We start from the raw sequence: 20,753 nt of genomic DNA, 5'->3' as shown, positions 1-20,753 counted from the left end.
ACTGACTTCAAAAAAAAAAAAAGAAGTACAGCACTTATGTGAGCAATTTCCATAGAGAAATACAGTTGTCATGGAATTATAACACACACACAAACACTAGGTTTAGATGTTTTCACGGAGAATTCCACCAAACCTTTAGAAATCAGATCGTCCAAAGGCAAATTAACAACCCTCAGCCATTTGCGGCAAAATATTACAATTGAGGCAAGATATACTGTACTGAAAACTTGAGGAAAAAGCAGGAGAGAAAGTTCCTTTGGGAAATTCGAATACTCAAAAGTGCTTACATACAATGAAAAATTTGGAAATCCATAAGCATGGCCAAGGTGGGACACATGCTCAGAAAAGGCCTGAGAAGACACTAATAACTCACCTTTAGTAATTCCTAGGCTCACAGCAAGAAAAAATGAAGGCTAAGGCAGAATTATACATGGCTCCGCTAAGTGTTGAGGGAGCCCCAATACAGAGTCAGTAAGCAAAGTCTGGGAGATGTTTTTCATATTTTTTTCTTTTTTGGCTCCTTGCAGTCAAGGAAATCATTTTTAAATCACTAAATGCTAAATGAACACAAGCTAAAGGAACCGAGCCTTCAAACATCAAACATAAAAAAGAATGCAGATATTACAAAACCAGTTTACAAAAGTTACTAAACAAATAAAAACTACATTCCACAGTGGGTAACAAAAATAACCTTGAAGAAGGGAAAAATTTGGTTTCCAGAATAAACACATTATAATATCCAAAATGTCCAGTTTTCAACAAAAATTAAGAAGCATGCAAATAAACACAAAACTATGGCCCATTTACAGAAGAAATAAATGAGACTCTCCCTGAGTAAGCAGATATTAGAAATATTAGACAAAAACTTTATATAACTGTCGTAAATAAACTTAAAGAGCTAAAGAAACCCAAGAGAATGACATATAAATAAATAAGAAATATGAATTTTTTAAAAGGTACAAAAAAATTCTGAGGCTGAAAAGTACAATAACTAAGTAAAAAGTTACTTTTTACTTAGGGTTCCAATAGAAGATTTGAGCAGCTGGAAAAAAGAATCAGTGAACTTGATAGATCAAATGAAATGATTCAGTCTGAAGAGCAGGAAAATGAAAGAATGACAACAAAAAAGAATAGAGCCTAAAGACCTGTGTAACAACATCAAGAATGCCTACATACAGAATCCTGGTGGGGAGTGAGGGGCAGGAAGACTATTTGAAGAAATGTGTTTGAAAGCTTCCCAAATTTCACTAAAAACAAATATATACATTCAAAAAGCTCAGTGAACTTCAAGGAAATATACAAAGATATTCACACCAAGACACACTATGTTTCAAATTGTCAAAAGGCAAAGCGAATGTTTGAAAGCAGCAAGAGAAAGGCAACGCGTCATTTACAAAGGATCCTCAATAAGTTTGACAGCAGATAGTGCATTATAAGCCATGGATGCCAGAAGAGCTTAGGAAAAAGGCAACGCGTCATTTACAAAGGATCCTCAGTAAGTTTGACAGCAGAGAGCTCATTATAAACCATGGGTGCCAGAAGAGCTTAGGATGACATTTTAAAGTTCTGAAAGAAAAAAACACTGTCAACCAAAAATTCTATAACTTGGAAGATGCCCCTTCAAGTATTAAGGATAAATTACACATTCCCAGATTAAAAAAAAAGAAAGAGAGAGAGAGAGAAAGAGAAAGAAAGAAAGAAAGAAAGAAAGAAAGAAAGAAAGAAAGAAGAGAAAGAAGAAAGAGAAAGAAAGGAAGAAAGAGAGAGAAAGAGAGAGAGAGAGAGAGAGAAAAAGAAGGAAAGAAAGAAAGAAAGAAAGAAAGAAAGAAAGAAAGAAAAAAGAAAGAAAGAAAGAGAAAGAAAGAAAGAAAGAAAAGCAAGCAAGCTTTAAAAGTTCATGTTTGGTAGGCTGTACTTCAAGATACACTTTAAAAAAAAAGACTCCTTCACATACAAACTAAAAAACACTAGAAAGTAACTCAAAACCACATAAAGAAATAACTCCAGTAAAGATAACTACATAGGTAAATATAAAAGCAATTATCACATTTTTGTAAGTCTTTTTTAATATTCTATATGTTTTAAAACAAATGTGTAAAATAATGACTATAAATCTATGTTAATGAAGCATGATGTATAAAGATGTGGTTTGTGAAATTACCAACATAAAGAAATTCATAGGAAACTAAATAATAATAGAGATTTTGTATACTATTGAAGTTGTTTCAATTTACTCTAAATTGTTCCAAATTAAGAATGTTAATTGTAAATCCCCATGGTAACCACTAAGTTAATATCTTTTGAAAATACAGAAAAGGAAAGCAGAGGGTAAACACAGTGATATGCTACAAAATAGCAACTAAACACAAAAGAAGGCGATAATTGAGGAAATTAGGAACAAAGGAGGTATAAGACATACAGAAAACAAAAGCAAAATGGTAGGAGTAAGCCCCTCTTTATCAGTAATTACATTAAATACAAATGAATTAAACTCTCCAATCCAAAGAAAGAGATTGACAGAATGGATTTTTTAAAAATGATCCAACTATATTGTCCACAAGATACTCACTTTAGATCAAAATACACAATGAGTTGAAATGAAAAGATGGGAGAAAATATTCCATGTAAGTAATAACCAAAGGAGATCTGAGGCAAATATACTTATATCAGACAAAATAGACTTTAAGTCAAAAACTGTTACAAAATACAAAGAACAGTATATATTGATTTCAAAATTAATTAAGAAGATATAACAATTATAAATATATGTACACCAACTAACAGGGCTCCAAAATATATAATGTAACCATTGAGAGAATTAAAGGGAGAGACAGACAATTCCACGAAAATTGTTGGGCATTTGAAAACCCAACTTTAAATAAAAGATAAAACATCCAGAGCAAATATCAAGGGAGGAATTAGAGGATTTGAATAAAACTATAAGCAATAACTATAGATAACACTTCTCTCAAAAACTGCAGAATACACATTCTTCTCAAGTGAACATGGAACATTCTCCAGCACAGATGATACGTTAGGCCATAAGATAAGCTCAATAAACTTAAAAAGATTGAAATCATGCAAAGTATCTTCACTGGCCACAATGGAATGAAATAAGATATCAATAACAAAAGAAAAACTAGAAAATTTACAAATATTTGGAAATTAAACAACACAGTATTTACCAACCAATGAATCAAAGAACAAATCATGAGGGAAATTAGAAAATGTTTAGAGATGATTGAAAACAAATATATAACAAGATGGGTGTGATATATCAAAAGCAGTGCTCAGAGTTGTAACACCTACATTTTAAAAAAGAAACATGTCAAATCAATAACCAAACTTTACTCAATAAACCGTAAAAGGAAGAGCAAACAAAATCCAGAGCTAGCAGAAGGAAGGAAATGAAGATTAGAGCAGAGATAAATGAAATTGAGAATTAAAAAATTATACAGAGATCAACAAAATTAACAGGTGCTAGTAGAAAATATTAACTTTCTTTGTATTAACAGGTGTTAGTAGAAAGTAGTAGTAGGTGCTAAGATAAAAGCCATAATTAAACCTCCTGGTGAATGAACACACCATCACCTACAATCTTACCAAAAATAGAACCAAGCACGTGTCCTAGTCAAACCTCTGGATTCAACTGTCATTTGGATAAAACGCAAAGGATAGTGAAAATGTCGATCTTCACTGAGAGTCTCACCAGCAAATTTCACAGTGTGGACACCAAGTGACAAAAATCCCAAATTTTTCAACAAATATATTGTATGGGAAAGAAAACTTTGAAAAGAAACCTGTATGTTAGAAGGGATTTTAAAAACACGACAAATGAAAACAAATGGGCAAGACTAAATCATAGTGTCTTGGAATGCATGCAGGAAGGACACAGCCGTGAAAATGCAAGGACACCTCTACTGGAACAGTCATGTTTATCGTTACTTTTCAGGAGAAAGGTGGCTGCAACTGAGGAGAGTCACATGCTTCAGGGCTGGCAAAGTCCTATATCTTGACTTATGTGATGATTACAGGGATGTTTACAAAAATCAAACTATAAGTTTGTTTTGTGCCATGTTTTGTATTGTGTGTGTGTGTGTTTTGTTTTTCAACTTAAAAATAAATAAAATCAAAACCAAGGCTTCATTATCAAGTAGCACAAAGTCTCCAATCTATAACCTCCTTTGTCTGGATATCTGCATTTAACTACCATTGCCAGAGCTAATCCTGACAATGCATTCATATTTTTAACACTGAAACACAGTAAACAGGGAAAATTTTGCTCCTCTAAAACAGGGCATCTTCAGGCAATCAGAACAACTCAGAAAGTTTCTGTCTGTTGCATAAAACTCCCCTGTGCAAAGAGTTACACAAAATGCTGTCATAGTAAAGGTAGTTAACTAACGGCACTAATTGTTCTTGGGCAGTGGCCAAGTGGAACTTCAGAGACCTGGCATTGCCAGCCAGAAATCACTTGTCACGGGAATTGCCTCCTGGAATCACTTTGGTTGTCCCAGGGTAACGTAGGGAAAGTGGTTAATGGGTCACTTGGGGGTGGCATCTTCATCAGTAAATTACATTTACTTTCTCCTACTAAGAATTTTATTTTTGGCCATGAAGCCAGAAGTCAGCTCTTAAATAACAAGGGAAGCAAATAATCATTGAATAAAAATAGCAGAAAGAAAAAGCTGTGCAAAGAAATTTATGTTATTAATTTGTTATATATGTATATTTTTATCATACTTTAAGTTCTAGGGTACATGTGCACAATGTGCAGGAAAAAAAATTTATGTTTTTAAAATTTATTCTACATTATGAATTCTACATTAGAAAAATAAACCATAGCCTCATCACAGGCACTTAAATACACTGAAGCTGCCAAAACAATCTATCGTTTTGCCTACGTACTTATCAACTTCCTCATAGCAAACTGGGAGAAAAAAGCAATGGAATGAATAAAATGATAGCCACAAAAATCGAGGTGGGAGAAATACTTATTATATGTCCATAAAAAATTTTAATTAATGCAAAGTATTAACACCAATGATTGCAGTAATACAGATCTTACAAATGATAGTTTTAGTCTGAACAGGACTATCCAAAAGTTAATTTCTATAGTAACAGTTTTTAAATAAAATTTCAATTCCTGAAACACATAAAATGGTCCATGAGTATACAACGAGTGAAAAAAAACAAATTCAGAGCAAACATAAATTAAGAAGTATCTAATATTCAAACATAGTCAAAGAGAGGGAGATTTCTGGATAATCACTTAAGCCCCTGGTTAAACATAAATGCACATATGTTAATGTTTACTGAATAACTTATCGGTGCCAAGTGGTGTATTAATGATTCATTTTTATTTTTCACTAAATCTTTTCTCTAAAGTTGGCGTAGCCTGCAAGTAAATGCAGGAAATCTGACCTAGAACCTGCACTTCTTACCATTTTGCTCATATTTATTCCCTGTGCATTTTTGTAACATGTATATGTTATATATATAGAAAGAGAGAGAGGCAGAGATGGAAAGTAATTTATGGAGTTTGATGTTATGTCAGGGTAATTACATGATTATATAATTAACAGAGGTTTCTTTTTAAATCAGCTATATCAATAGAAAAATAAATGTAGGAATCAAGAGACTCATTCTGTCCATCTGTGATAGTTCCATCATGATACTGCATTGTCAAGTCATTGCCCCAAAAATATGGTTTAGCTCAACACTGAGTGACTATAGGAAACCAGAAACCAGGCTGGGCGCTAAAGATGCAAAGATGAATGAGACATCATCTCTGCCGTCCAAAAGCTTACTGTCTAGTGGGAGAGTTACACACGTAAGGACAGTAATCTAATAAGAGCTAATAAGTGAAAACTAAGATAAGTTAATAATACAAGATTACAGGGAAGGTTTCCAAAGTCAATGAGGCCTCAAATGAGTCTTGAAAGTGTGCAAGGATTAACCAAATGAAGAAATGTGTAAGCTTTTCAAACAAAAAGGAACAGCATGAGCAAATGCAAGGAGGCCTAAAATAAAGAGATGTGTAAAGAGGTGTAAGCAGCTTTGTACTGCTGCCTGATAATTAGAAGAATATCGGGAGTAACAAGAGCTATAGAAGAGAGTCACAATTACGGAAAAATATTTATTAAATTATAAGAAATTTATAGCATAAGGAATAGTCGGACCATTAAATGTTTTAATAAAGATGATGCTTCTTTTTTTAATATTTATTTTTATTATACTTTAAGTTCTAGGGTACATGTGCACAACATGCAGGTTTGTTACATATGTATACATGTGCCATGTTGGTGTGCTGCACCCATTAACTCATCATTTACATTAGGTATGTCTCCTAACGCTATCCCTCCCCCCTCCCCCCACCCCACAACAGGCCCCGGTGTGTGATATTCCCCTTCCTGTGTCCGTGTTCTCATTGTTCAAGTCCCACCTATGAGTGAAAACATGCGGTGTTTGGTTTTTTGTTCTTGAGATAGATGATGCTTTAAATTGACCACTCTAGCTGCATTGTGGGAGGAAAAAAGATTTTAGAACAAGACTAGAAACAGAATAATTAGAAAAATGCAACTACAATGCAGATGAGTGATGATCAAGGTCTGAACTGAATAGTGGAAATAGAGATAAGGAGGCAAATTCAAGAAATGTGTGTGACAGTAAAATTAACATGACCTGGTGTTTGATTGACTCTGTAAAGTGAAAGGATGAATAATCAACAAATAATATTTATTCTACCAAATGCCTCCATGCCGCTCTGATGACAGGATAATATGTAAGCTTTTCTATATCTCAGAAACTATATGACATGACGAAAAGTAAAAAGGGGATGGGGGTAAGGAGGTATCCTGAATTGACTGAGAAATAAGGAGGTATTCCACAGAGAATATAAAAAAACATATACTTAGTGTTCAAGGAATAATAAAAAAGAGAACATCTATGTGTCCACCATACAGGATATGAAATAGAACATTTGCCGGCCATGGTTGCTCACACCTGTAATCCCAGTACTTTGGGAGGCCGAGGTGGGAGGATCACTTAAGCCCAGGACACAGGTTGCAGTGAGCCAAGATCACACTATCGTACTCCAGCCTGGGCCACCATGTCTCAGAAAAATAAAAAAACTAGATGTCTTGGAGGATTGGAAACAAAATAGAACTTTACTAGTGCCTTAGACACCCATTGGGTGCTCCTTGCCAATTGTGTTCTCCTTTATTTCCTGCTGGATATGACCACTGTCCTTCCATTGCATTGTATGTGTTTTTTAATAGACTTTAATGGTTCTCAAGTGATGCATTATTTAGTTTGGTTCTTTGAAACTTATATAAATGAAATTATTTTGTAGAAGTTCTTTCACCTTTATCAGAAGGTACTTTCACCTTGATTCAATAAGTTTGCATATTACAACCTTGTTGAATGTTGCTGTAATTCATCCATTCATATTGCTATATGATATTCCACTACATGAATATGTCGGACTTCATTCCTCAGATCTATTGTTGATGAACACTTGAAATTTTTCCAGTTTTTAACCATTACAAACAATGCTGCTATGAACATTCTTTTGTAAATCACCTGGTTCATATGTGCAAGATATCCTCTGGGGTATATATTTAAAAGTAAAATTATTGAGTTATTCAACATTACCATGAAATGCTACACTATTTTTTTTAACAATCCTACCAATTCACACTTCTACCACGAACAGATAAGCATTACCATTGGTCTTCATTTGTAGGAACCATATTTGTCTTTTGCTCTGGGGGCTTTGTTTTGTTTTGCTTTGTTTTTTGCTTAGAAGTGCTTTGGCTATTTGGGATCTTTTTTGGCTCCATGTGAACTTTAGGATTTTTTTTTAATTTTGTGAAAAATAACGTTGATAATTTGATGGGAATTGCATTAACTCTATAGATTGTATGGGTGATATGGTCACTTTAGCTATTGATTTTTCTAATCCATGAGCATGGGATGTTTTTCCATTTGTTTATGTCATCTATAATTTCTTTCATTAGTATTTTGTAGTTCTCCTTGTAGAGATCTTTCATTTATATAGTTATGCATTCCTAGGTATTTTTCATGGCTATTGTAAATTCAGTTGAGTTCTTAATTTGGTTCTCAACAAATTAATCTCAACAAACATTCAAACAGCTTGAATGTTTTTGGTGTATAGAAATACAACTGATTTTTGTGGCTTGTTTATCCCAAGACTTTACTGAAGTCGTGTATCAAGTCTAGGAGTCTTCTGAAGACTTTAGGGTTTTCCAGGCCTACAGTCATGTCATCAGTGAGCAGAGATCATTTGACTTCTTTTCTAATTTGTATACCTTTTATTTCTTTCTCCTTTCTGATAGTTCTGGCTAGCACTTCCAGTAATGTATTGAATAGGAATGATGAAGGTGAACATCCTTGCTTTTTTCCAGTTTCTAGAAGCAACACTTCCAACTTTTGCCCATCCAGGATGATGTTGGCTGTGGCTTTGTCATAGATGACTCATTTTTTGAGGTATACTCCATCTATACCTATATTGTTGAGGGTTTTTATCATAAACAGATGTTGGATTTTATCAAATGCTTATTCTGCATCTAATGAGATGATCATAGGGTTTTTGTTCTCAGTTCCATTTATGTGGTGAATCATGTTTATTGATTTGTCTATTTTGAACCATTCAAGCACCCCTGGAATAAAGCCCACTTGATCATGATGAATTATCTTTTTGATGTGCTGTTAGCTTCAGTTTGCTAGAATTTTGTTGAGTATTTTTACATCTGTGTTGATCAGGGATAAGGATTTGTAGTTTTCTTTTGTGTTCTTTTTAAAAATTTTCCTTGTTAATTTTACTGCACAGTATTATTTTAATGATGAATAAAGTGTTGAGCTGGACATGTGTACCTTGTTCCTCGTGTTAGAATGAAACTGTTTAATATGTCATGATTATTTATAATGTTGAGAGTAGTTTTTGTGTATATATTAAGATATTTACATCAGTTCTCTTCTATTCCTAGCTTGTTATTATTACAAATAGTTTCAAATGTGAACAAGTGCTTTACCCGCAGCTATTGAAATAACCATATTTTTTTCTTTTATTCAGTTAATGTGGTTAATTTCATTGTTTGGTTTTCTAATTTTAAACCATACATTCTTGAAATTACTGCACTTAGTCACGATGTATTTTTCTTTGGAGTATATTGTTGGATATTTGCAAACATTTTTGTTTAGAATTATTATGTAGTATATTAGTCTGTAATTTCATTTCTTTTAATATCCTTGTATGGTTTTATTATCATGGAGGTACCACCATATAAAACAAGTTGGAAAGTGTTATGTCTTCCCAATTCTCTAAAAATATTCATGTAACATTGGCATTATTTCTTTATTAAATATTTGGTAATATTTCTTTATTAAATATTGCATCCACCTAGCCCTGGAGTTCTTTCTACAGGAAAAAAAAATTTTCTAAATAAAATTTCTACAATGAAAAAAAAACTACTCAGTTTTTCTAGTTTTTTTCTGATCATTTCATAAAAGTAGGTGTTTTTCATAGGAACTTGACCATTCCTTATGATTGTCAAATTTATTAATATAAAGTTTCATATTTTATATTTATTTTATCAGATAAATAAAATTATATGTTTTGAAATATATATTCATTGTAAAATAGCCATGTTAAGCTAACATATGCATTACCTTACATGCTTATCTTTTTTTATGAGAACACTTAAAAATCTACTCTTAGCAATTTTGAAGAATACAAGTACATCCCCTATGGAGAACAGTTTGAAGGCTCCTCAAAAAAGTAAAAATAGAGCTACCATGTGGTCCAGCAATCCCACTGCTGCATATATACCCCCCAAAAAAGAAATCAGTATATCGAAGAGATATCTGCACTCCCGTATTTGTTGCAGCACTATTTACAATAGCGAAGTTATGGAGTCAACCTAAGTGTCCATCAACAGATGAATGAATAAAGAAAATGTGGTACTTATATACAATGAAGTACTATTCAGCCATAAAAAGGAATGAGACCCTGTCATTTGCAACAACATAGATGAAACTGGAGGTCATTATGTTAAGTGAAATAAGCCAGGCACAAAAAGACAAATACTATGTGTTATCACTTATATGTGGAATCCAAAAAGCAAACAACTGAACTCATGGAGATAGAGAGTAGAAGGAAGTATACCAGAGGCTGTGAAGGGTAGTGGGGGTTGGGAGAGGTGGGGGATGGTTAATGGGTACAAAAAAAGAAAGATTTAATAAGACCTAGTATTTGATAGCACAACAGGGGGATTGCAGTCTAAAATTCAATTATACATTTAAAAATAACTGAAAGAGTATAACTGGATTGTTTATAACACAAATAATAAATGCTTGAGGGGATGAATATCCAATTTTCCATTATGTACTTATTGTACATTGCATGCCTGTACCAAAATATTTCATGTACCCCATAAATGTATACACCTGCTATGTACCCACAAAAATTAAATTTAAAAACAATACATTGTTATCCACTATAGTCACCATATTGCACAATAGATCTGTTGAATTCATTCCTCCTGTACAATGCAATTTTGTACCCTTCGACCAACATCTACCCAATCCTCCTGGTAACCATCATTCTACTCTGTACTTCTATGTGTTCAGCCTTCTTAGACCTCCACATACAAGTGAGACTATGCAGTATCTGGCTTTCTGTGCCTGGATTATTTTACTCAGTATAATGTCCTCCCGGTTCATTCATGTTGTCACAAATGATACTTTTTTTATTTTTTAAGGTTGTATACTATTCTATTGTGTATGTGTACCACGTTTTCTTCATCCACTCATGTGTCGATGGATACTTAAGTTAATTCCACATCTTGGCTGTTGTGAATAATGCTACAATAAATATGGGAGTACAGATAACTCATTGACACACTGATTTGATATCTTTTTAATATATGCCCAGAAATAGCATTACTGGATCATATGGTAATTCTATTTTTACAGAATCATTTATACTGTCTTTTACAATGGCTGAAATAATTTACATTCTCAACAATTACAAGGTTTTCCTTTTCTCCACATCCTCTCCAACACTTGGTATCTTCTGCCTTTTCTGTAACAGCCATTCTAACGGATGTGAAATGGCATTTTATTGTAGTTTTAATATGCATTTCTCTGATGATCAGTGATAATTAGCATTTTTATATATCTGTTGGCCATTTGTATGTCTTCTTTTGAGAAATGTCTATTTAGATCCTTTGTCAATTTTTCATTAGGGTTCCCTGTTTTCTTATTATTGAGTTGTTTGTGTTCCTAAGATATTTTGGACATTAGCCTCTTATCAAATGTATAGTTTGCAGATAATTTCTCCCATTTTGTAGGTTATCACTTCACTCTGTTGACTTTCTTTTGCTGTGCAGAAGCTTTTTAGGTTGATGCTATTCCATTTGTGTTTTGTTGCTTTTCTTGCCTGTGCTTTAGAGTCATATCATAAAATATTATTGCCCAGACCAATGTCTTGGAGTTATTCCCCTGTTTTCTTCTAGGAGTTCTATAGTGCTAGGTCTTACATTTAAGTCTAACTTATTTTGAGTTTATATTTTTATATGGTATGAAATAAGGGCCTAATATCAATCTTGTGGACATTCAGTTTTCTCAACACCATTTTTTTGAAGAGACTGTTCTTTCCCCATGTGTGTTCCTGGCACCTTTGTTGAAAGTCAATTGACTATAATATGTAGATTTATTTATGGGCTCTTTATTCTGTGTAATTGGTCTATGTGTCTGCGTTTATGCCAGTACCATGGTGTTTCGATTGCTATAGCTATGTAGTATAATTTGAAGTCAGGTAATGTGATATCTCCTGCCTTGCTTTTTTTGATCAAGATTCTTTTGGCTTTTCAGAGTTTTTTGTGATTCCATACAGATTTGAGAGTTGTTTTTCTATTTCTGTGGGAAAATGTCATAGGAATTTGGTAGAGATTGCATTCAATATGTACATCACTTTGGATAGTATGAACATTTCAAACATATTACTTTTTCCAATCCATGAACATGAGATATCTTTCCATTTATTTGTGGCTTCTTCAATTGCTTTCATCAATGTTTTGTAGTTTTCAGTGTAAAGATCATTCACCTCTTTGTTTAAATTTACATCTAAGTATTTTTTGTTGCTATTATAAATAGGATTGTTTTCTTGATTTCTTTTTTTGTATAGTTTGTTGTTGATGTGTAGAAATGCTACTGAATTTTGTATGTTCACATTGTATCCTGCAACTTTACTAAATTCATTTATGAATTCTAAATTTTTTGGCAGAGTTATTGGTGTTTTCTATATATAAGATCATGTCAACTGCAAACAGAAACAATTTAACTTCTTCCTTTCCAATTTTCATGCCTTTTATTTCTTTCTTTTGCCTAATTGCTCTGGCTAGGACATCCAGTACTATGTTGAATAGAAGTTCTGAGAGTGGGCACCCTTGTATGAAATTTTCCACAACATCTCTTATCTTTTTATTAGCTATATATTAATACGGATGTTTCTTCTTCATCAGGAGTTTGAAAAATATGTCTTTTCTCTATATTGTTCTTAATCAGTCTTCCTAGAAGTATTTCAATTTCAAAAAGTAGCAACAACTGTGGGAGTTCAGTCAGGCTGGTGGGAAAAATTTTAAAGATAGTTATAAGAAATCGACACAAACCTTCATGGAAGGCTGGGGGTGTTGTATAGCTTCAGTAATAGATCTGAATGAAGGCGGCCTAATCCTTCCTTGAGTAAATAGCTTAAAGTAGGTGCAAAGGAATGTAAGGGAGTTTATCTAAATAACTTGTTTACTCATGTGGTCCTGAAGCCAACCTTTGATCATTCACAGGCAGGATGGCTCTCTCTCGGGGGAGGGTGACCAGGTTAATTACCCTCTATTTGTGTTGACTAAAAGCCCCTGTCATTTAATGTTTTTTCAATAAATGCTGGCAGGGCTAGCTAGTCAGGGCTCGTGGCTGCCAGAACTCTTTCTGTGCACGGCCCAGCCCCCTAGCGGCTCTTTCACTGAATAATTGGTGTCTGAGTACATTATTCATCCCTCGTGCAGCTGGGGTCTGCAGGACAGACCCCCACAAACAACAATTTGCAAAAGCAAACTTCCCTGTTTTGTTTTTTTCCCAAGATGATAAATTAGAGGCTTTTAGTGTGCCTCGGCCACTTAGAAATAGCAAGAGAGTGCACAAAGGTCAACTCTGTGAGCTCTAAGTCAAGAAGGAAAATGGGAATCCACCAGAATCATGAAGGACATCATAGATCCCAAGAAGGAGAATGTGAGCAAACAGTCAACATGACAGCAACCAGCTTATAAAAGTGAGCGAAGTCCTAGTATGTGAGAGAGGCAGAGAGCCTCCCTCTGTAACTGACATTTTCACTGTGAATCTGAGCAACCCCAGCCAAGTTGTTGCATTTTGTTTCTCCCAAGGCCTGGAGTCAACATGGGGAGAGGCTTGGAGATGCTGTGAAGCAAAGACACTGGGAACAGCTGCAGACATTTTCCCAGACCAGGAAGTAAGAGCAAGATGCCATTTTCAATCTGGATGCATGCAAAGTCAGCTTTTTTTTTTCTTTTTGTGACCCAGCAGAATGCCTGCACAGGCATTTTAGTCTCAGGCCAAAGATTGGAACAACTGCTTTGGGTCTTGGTAGGGACCTTCACAGCCATATTGTGGGAAACACCTCAGCAGTATGTGCTGGAATTGTGCTTTCCCCCATCGCAGCCTCGGGGCAACAGAAAAGCTGCTACAGCTGTAATTTCTCCCAGGTGATGAAACTTGCAGCCAGGGCCAGCTTGGAGACCTACAACCAGTCTGCAGGTGTCATTGCTGGGTGCCCCAGCCTGTTCCCCTGACAATGTGATACAGCAGGGCTTTCTCTGCTTCACCCCCAGGCAGAAATTCAGGCATTGGAGCACCTGTCTACCTGGACCAGCATCCTGAGCTACCCCACCGTTTGTAAACATAGGTTGTGGTGCAGTGGGGCCCTCTCCAGTCTATGGCCAGGCAGATTTCCAGGTATGTGGAGCACCCACTTGACTGGATCAGCAGCCTGAGCTTCCCCAACCTTCCTGTGCTGAGATTATAGTGCAGTGAGGCCCTCTCATCTCCACACATAGGCAGACCTCCAAGCAATTAGAGCACCTGCTCCTATGGAGAACTTAAATTTACAAGAAAAAAAACCATCAAAAATTGGCCAAAGGACATGAACAGACAATTCTCAAAAGAAGACATGGATGTGGCCAACAAACATATGAAAAAAAGCTCAAATCACTGATCATTAGAGAAATGCAACTCAAAAGCACAATGAGATACTATCTCAAACCAGTCTTAATGGTGATTATCAAAAACTCCAGAAACAACAGTTGCTGGTAAGGCTGTGGAGAAATAGGAATGCTTTTACACTGTTTGTGGGAATGTAAATTAGTTCATTCACTGTGGAAGACAGTGTGACAATTCCTCAAAGATCTAGAACCAGAAATGCCATTTGCCCCAGCAATCCCTTTACTGGGTATATGCCCAAAGGAATATAAATCACTCTATTATAAAGATACATGCACAGGGCTGGGTGCAGTGGCTCACACCTGTAATCCCAGCACTTTGGGAGGCCAAGGCCGGTGGATCACCTGAGGACAGGAGTTTGAGACCAGCCTAGCCAACATGGGGAAACTCCATCTCTACTAAAAATACAAAAATTAGCCAGGTATAGTGGTGCACACCTGTAATACCAGCTACTTTGGAGGCTGAGGCAGGAGAATCGCTGGAACCCAGGAGGCAGAGGTCAAAGTGAGCCAAGATCATACCATTGCACTCCAGCCTGGGCAACAAGAGCAAAACTCCATCTCAAAAAAATATATATATATACATATACATACATATATATACATATATATACACATATATATACATATATATACACATATATATACATATATACATATATTATATATGTAAATGTATATATATGTGTATATATATACACACATATATATACACATATATATACATATTATAACTACATATATATACACACACACATACATATACATGCACACATATGTTTATTGCAGCACTATTTACGATAGAAAATACATGGAATCAACCCAAATGCCCATCAATGATATATTGGATAAAGAAAATGTGATATATATTCACCATGGAATACTCTGCAGCCATTAAAATAAATGAGATCATGTTCTTTGCAGGGACATGGATGAAGCTGGAAGCCATCACCGTCAGCAAACTAACACAGGAACAGAAAACCAAACACCACATGTTCTCAGTCGTAAGAGGGAGTTGAACAATGAGAGCAAACACATGGATACATGGAGGGGAACAACACATACCAGGGCCTCTCAGGGGGACAGGGGTTAGGAGACCATCAGGACAAACACGTGGATACATGGAGGGGAACAACACACACCAGGGCCTCTCAGCGGGACAGGGGGTAGGAGACCATCAGGACAAACACGTGGGTACATGGAGGGGAACAACACACACCAGGGCCTCTCAGGGGGACGGGGGGTAGGAGACCATCAGGACAAACACGTGGATACATGGAGGGGAACAACACACACCAGGGCCTCTCAGGGGGACAGGGGGTAGGAGACCATCAAGACAAACACGTGGATACATGGAGGGGAACAACACACACCAGGGCCTCTCAGGGGGACGGGGGTAGGAGACCATCAGGACAAACACGTGGGTACATGGAGGGGAAAAACACACACCAGGGCCTCTCAGGGGGACAGGGGGTAGGAGACCATCAGGACACACACGTGGGTACATGGAGGGGAACAACACACACCAGGGCCTCTCAGGGGGACAGGGGGTAGGAGACCATCAAGACAAACACGTGGATACATGGAGGGGAACAACACACACCAGGGCCTCTCAGGGGGACAGGGGGTAGGAGACCATCAGGACAAACACGTGGATACATGGAGGGGAAAAACACACACCAGGGCCTCTCAGGGGGACAGGGGGTAGGAGACCATCAGGACACACACGTGGGTACATGGAGGGGAACAACACACACCAGGGCCTCTCAGGGGGACAGGGGGTAGGAGACCATCAGCACAAACACGTGGGTACATGGAGGGGAACAACACACACCAGGGCCTCTCAGGGGGACAGGGGGTAGGAGACTATCAAGACAAACACGTGGATACATGGAGGGGAACAACACACACCAGGGCCTCTCAGGGGGACGGGGGGTAGGAGACCATCAGGACAAACACGTGGGTACATGGAGGGGAACAACACACACCAGGGCCTCTCAGGGGGACGGGGGGTAGGAGACCATCAAGACAAACACGTGGGTACATGGAGGGGAACAACACACACCAGGGCCTCTCAGGGGGACAGGGGGTAGGAGACCATCAGGACAAACACGTGGGTACATGGAGGGGAACAACACACACCAGGGCCTCTCAGGGGGACAGGGGGTAGGAGACCATCAGGACAAACACGTGGGTACATGGAGGGGAACAACACACACCAGGGCCTCTCAGGGGGACGGGGGGTAGGAGACCATCAGGACAAACACGTGGGTACATGGAGGGGAACAACACACACCAGGACCTCTCAGGGGGACAGGGGGTAGGAGACCATCAAGACAAACACGTGGGTACATGGAGGGGAACAACACACACCAGGGCCTCTCAGGGGGACAGGGGGTAGGAGACCATCAAGACAAACACGTGGGTACATGGAGGGGAACAACACACACCAGGGCCTCTCAGGGGGACAGGGGGTAGGAGACCATCAGGACAAACACGTGGATACATGGAGGGGAACAACACACACCAGGGCCTCTCAGGGGGACGGGGGGTAGGAGACCATCAAGACAAACACGTGGGTACATGGAGGGGAACAACACACACCAGGGCCTCTCAGGGGGACAGGGGTAGGAGACCATCAGGACAAACACGTGGGTACATGGAGGGGAACAACACACACCAGGACCTCTCAGGGGGACAGGGGGTAGGAGACCATCAGGACAAACACGTGGATACATGGAGGGGAACAACACACACCAGGGCCTCTCAGGGGGACGGGGGGTAGGAGACCATCAGGACAAACACGTGGGTACATGGAGGGGAACAACACACACCAGGGCCTCTCAGGGGGACAGGGGGTAGGAGACCATCAAGACAAACACGTGGGTACATGGAGGGGAACAACACACACCAGGGCCTCTCAGGGGGACAGGGGGTAGGAGACCATCAGGACAAACACGTGGGTACATGGAGGGGAACAACACACACCAGGGCCTCTCAGGGGGACGGGGGTAGGAGACCATCAGGACAAATAGCTAATGCATGCAGGGCCTCATACCTAGGTGATGGGTTGATGGGTGCAGGAAACCACCATGGCACACATTTACCTATGTATCAAACCTACACTTTCTGCACGTGTATCCCAGAACATAAAATAAAATTTAAAAAATATATACACTGATTCATGATCTCCTTTCTCTCCTTCTGAAACACTCTTTAAAACTTTTTAGCATTTCCCCCTCTGTCTTCCATGTCTCCTAACTACATGTTTCTTATTTTCCATTTCCTTATTCCTGTGTTCATTTTGGATAGCCCCTTCTGACCTATATTACAGTTTACTAGTTCACTCTTTAACTGCTTCTAACATACTAATATTCTGTTGAAACCATTCATTTGGGTTTAAATTTCAATTATGTTATTCTCTATGGACATTCTATTTGTTTTCTTTTAATCTTCTTGGCCATTCTCTAGAGTTTCCTGTTCCATTATGATATTTTTAATTTTTTGTTTTACTTTAAACATACTAAATATAGTTATTTTATTTTCTGTATCTGATACTTTCAATAACTGCAGTCTTTGCTAGTCTTTTTTCTGTGCTCTTGCTCATAGTTTTTTTCGTTTGTTTTCATGATTAGAAAAACAGAGAGAGAAGAAGGAGAGTAAAGGGAGGAGGAGGAGGAGGAGAAAAGAAGAAAGCAGAGAAGAAGGGACAGAGAAAAAAAGGAAGTTGGTTCTAACGTTTCTCTAACAACTGGCTTCAGTGAAACGCTCCCACCTTGTGGATTTTTAGGTTATTGAAATTAACCAGTCTTCTGGGTGCAGCACACCAACATGGCACATGTATACATATGTAACAAACCTGCACTTTGTGCACATGTACCCTAAAACTTAAAGTATAATAAAAAATAAAATAAAAAGCTACACAAATTAAAAAAAAAAAGAAATCAACCTAATTCCTAGATTACCACCTCTTGATTCAAATGCTTTAAATCTAGGCTTTTCATATGAGTCTTTCTTTTTAGTTATTCTGTTTATCTTCAAAACACTCCTGCTTTGAATCATTCAAAATCTACCTCCCTCCCTCTGTTTGACTACCATCAATTTTTTTGCTCATTCCTAATGCATTAATCTATTAGCTGTGAATATCCAAAAACCCTCATTTCACTGAATCTTTGACAGACCCCTTTGCATCCTCTTGTTCTTCTAATTATTTCCTCAGAAACTTTATGTTCTCTTTTCTTTACAAGCATGTCATAGTTTATATACAATGTGTGTATTGTTTTTATATATACCTATATATAGCCTCTTTTTAAAAGCACTGTACACCATGCTTTGAAATATATTCTAAAATCAGGTAGCATGAAAATGGAAACATAACATACTAAAACATATGGGATGCAACAAAAGCAGTTATAAGAGGGACATTTATAGCAATAAATGCCTACATCAAAAAAGAAAAAAAGATCTCAAATAAGCAACCTAATATTATGCCTAAAGGAGCGAGAAAATTAGAGAACAATACAAGCCCAAAGATAGCAGAAGGAAACAAATAACAAAGATCAGAGCAGAAATAATATAATAGAAACTGAAAATTTCAATAAAAATAAGAATTGTTTTTTGAAAAGATAAACAAAATTAACAAATTCTTACATAGACTAAGAAAAAAGAAAACAAACTCAGAAATGAAAGAAGAGACATTACAACTGATACCACAGAAGTTAAAAAATCATAACATACTACTATAAATAATTATTCACCAGCAAATTAGATAACCTAGAAGAAATTGATAAACTCGTACCAAAACTGAATCATGAAGAATTCAAAATTTAGAACAAATCGTGAATAAGGAAATTAAATCACCAATGAAAGGTCTCTCATAAAAGAAAGACCCAGGATTGAATGGCTCGGTGGCTGGATTCTAACAAACACTTAGATAACTAACACCAATCCTTCTCAAACGCTTCCAGAAACATGAAGAAGAGGAATACTTCCAAATTCATTTTTCAAAACCAGCATTACCCTGATACCAAAACCAGAGAAGGACACTATAATAAAAATAAATTGCAGACCAATACTCCTGATGAACTTAGATGGAAAAACCCTCAGCCAAATATTAGCAAATATTATTTTTAAAAAAACACAGCAAAAGAATTCACCATGCTTAAGTGGGATTCATCCCTGGGAAGCTTATTAGTCTTATTTGATTCGTGTAATCAGAAAATTTCTATGTCTAGTGAAGAGAAATGAGAGCAATAGAGACTCATAGCACCTCAACAAATTTCCAGGCTTGAGCCAGTTAACAAATACGAGTCCTTCAAATACAAAAAAGACTGTGAAAGAAAATAGAACAGATCAATGAAACTAAGAATTTGTTCTTTGAAAAGATAAACAAAACTGACAAACCATTAGCTAGACTAGAAAAACGAGAGAATACTCAAAGCAATAAAATCAGAAATGAAAGAGGAAATATTGCAACTAATACCACAGAAATACAGAGGATCATAAGAGGCCACTATAAACAATTACAAGCCAACAAATTGGATAACCTAGAAAAAGCAGATAAATTTCTAGAAAAATGCAACTTACCTAGAGAAAGTCAAGAAGAAAGATAAAATCTGAACAGAACAATACTGAGTATGGAGAGTATATCAATAATAAAACATCTCCCATCAAAGAACATCCCAGGACCAGAAAACTTCATTGCTGAATTCTAACATTTTAAAAAATAATAATACAATCCTTCTGAAATTCTTCCAAAAACTTGAAGGAGAAAGAGTATTTCCAAACTCATTTTAAAAGATCAGCATTATTGTTTTTTTTTTTAAAGTGATGTTCCCCTTCCTGTGTCCATGTGTTCTCATTGTCCAATTCCCACCTATGAGTGAGAACATGTGGTGTTTGGTTTTTTGTCGTTGCAATAGTTTGCTGAGAATGATGGTTTCCAGCTTCATCCATGTCCCTACAAAGGACATGAACTCATCCTTTTTTATGGCTGCATAGTATTCCATGGTGTATATGTGCCACATTTTCTTAATCCAGTCTATCATTGTTGGACATTTGGATTGGTTCCAAGTCTTTGCTATTGTGAACAGTGCCACAATAAACATATGTGTGCATGTGTCTTTATAGCAGCATGATTTGTAATCCTTTGGGTATATACCCAGTAATGGGATGGCTGGGTCAAATGGTATTTCTAGTTCTAGATCCTTGAGGAATCGCCACACTGTCTTCCACAATGGTTGAACTAGTTTACAGTCCCACCAACAGTGTAAAAATGTTCCTATTTCTCCACATCCTCTCCAGCACCTGTTGTTTCCTGACTTTTTAATGATGGCCATTCTAACTGGTGTTAGATGATATCTCATTGTGGTTTTGATTTGCATTTCTCTGATGGCCAGTGATGATGAGCATTTCTTCATGCGTCTGTTGGCTGCATAAATG

At 37.0% G+C, this 20,753-nt stretch overlaps 2 annotated features.

The window, feature by feature from the left end:
* Window positions 3,840–4,040: a silencer, noted in NCBI's record as "peak2459 fragment used in MPRA reporter construct". NCBI's record gives its function as "represses an SCP1 promoter by STARR-seq MPRAs in K562 erythroleukemia cells {active_cell/tissue: K562}" and the evidence as "EXISTENCE:reporter gene assay evidence [ECO:0000049][PMID:32103011]".
* Window positions 4,420–4,620: a silencer, noted in NCBI's record as "peak2458 fragment used in MPRA reporter construct". NCBI's record gives its function as "represses an SCP1 promoter by STARR-seq MPRAs in K562 erythroleukemia cells {active_cell/tissue: K562}" and the evidence as "EXISTENCE:reporter gene assay evidence [ECO:0000049][PMID:32103011]".

The sequence above is a fragment of the Homo sapiens genome, chromosome 15, assembly GCF_000001405.40.
Source record: "Homo sapiens chromosome 15, GRCh38.p14 Primary Assembly".
NCBI classification, from domain to species: Eukaryota; Metazoa; Chordata; class Mammalia; order Primates; family Hominidae; genus Homo; species Homo sapiens.
The sequence above is the reverse complement of the archived record's forward strand: the minus strand, read 5'-3'. Positions and strand labels throughout refer to the sequence as shown.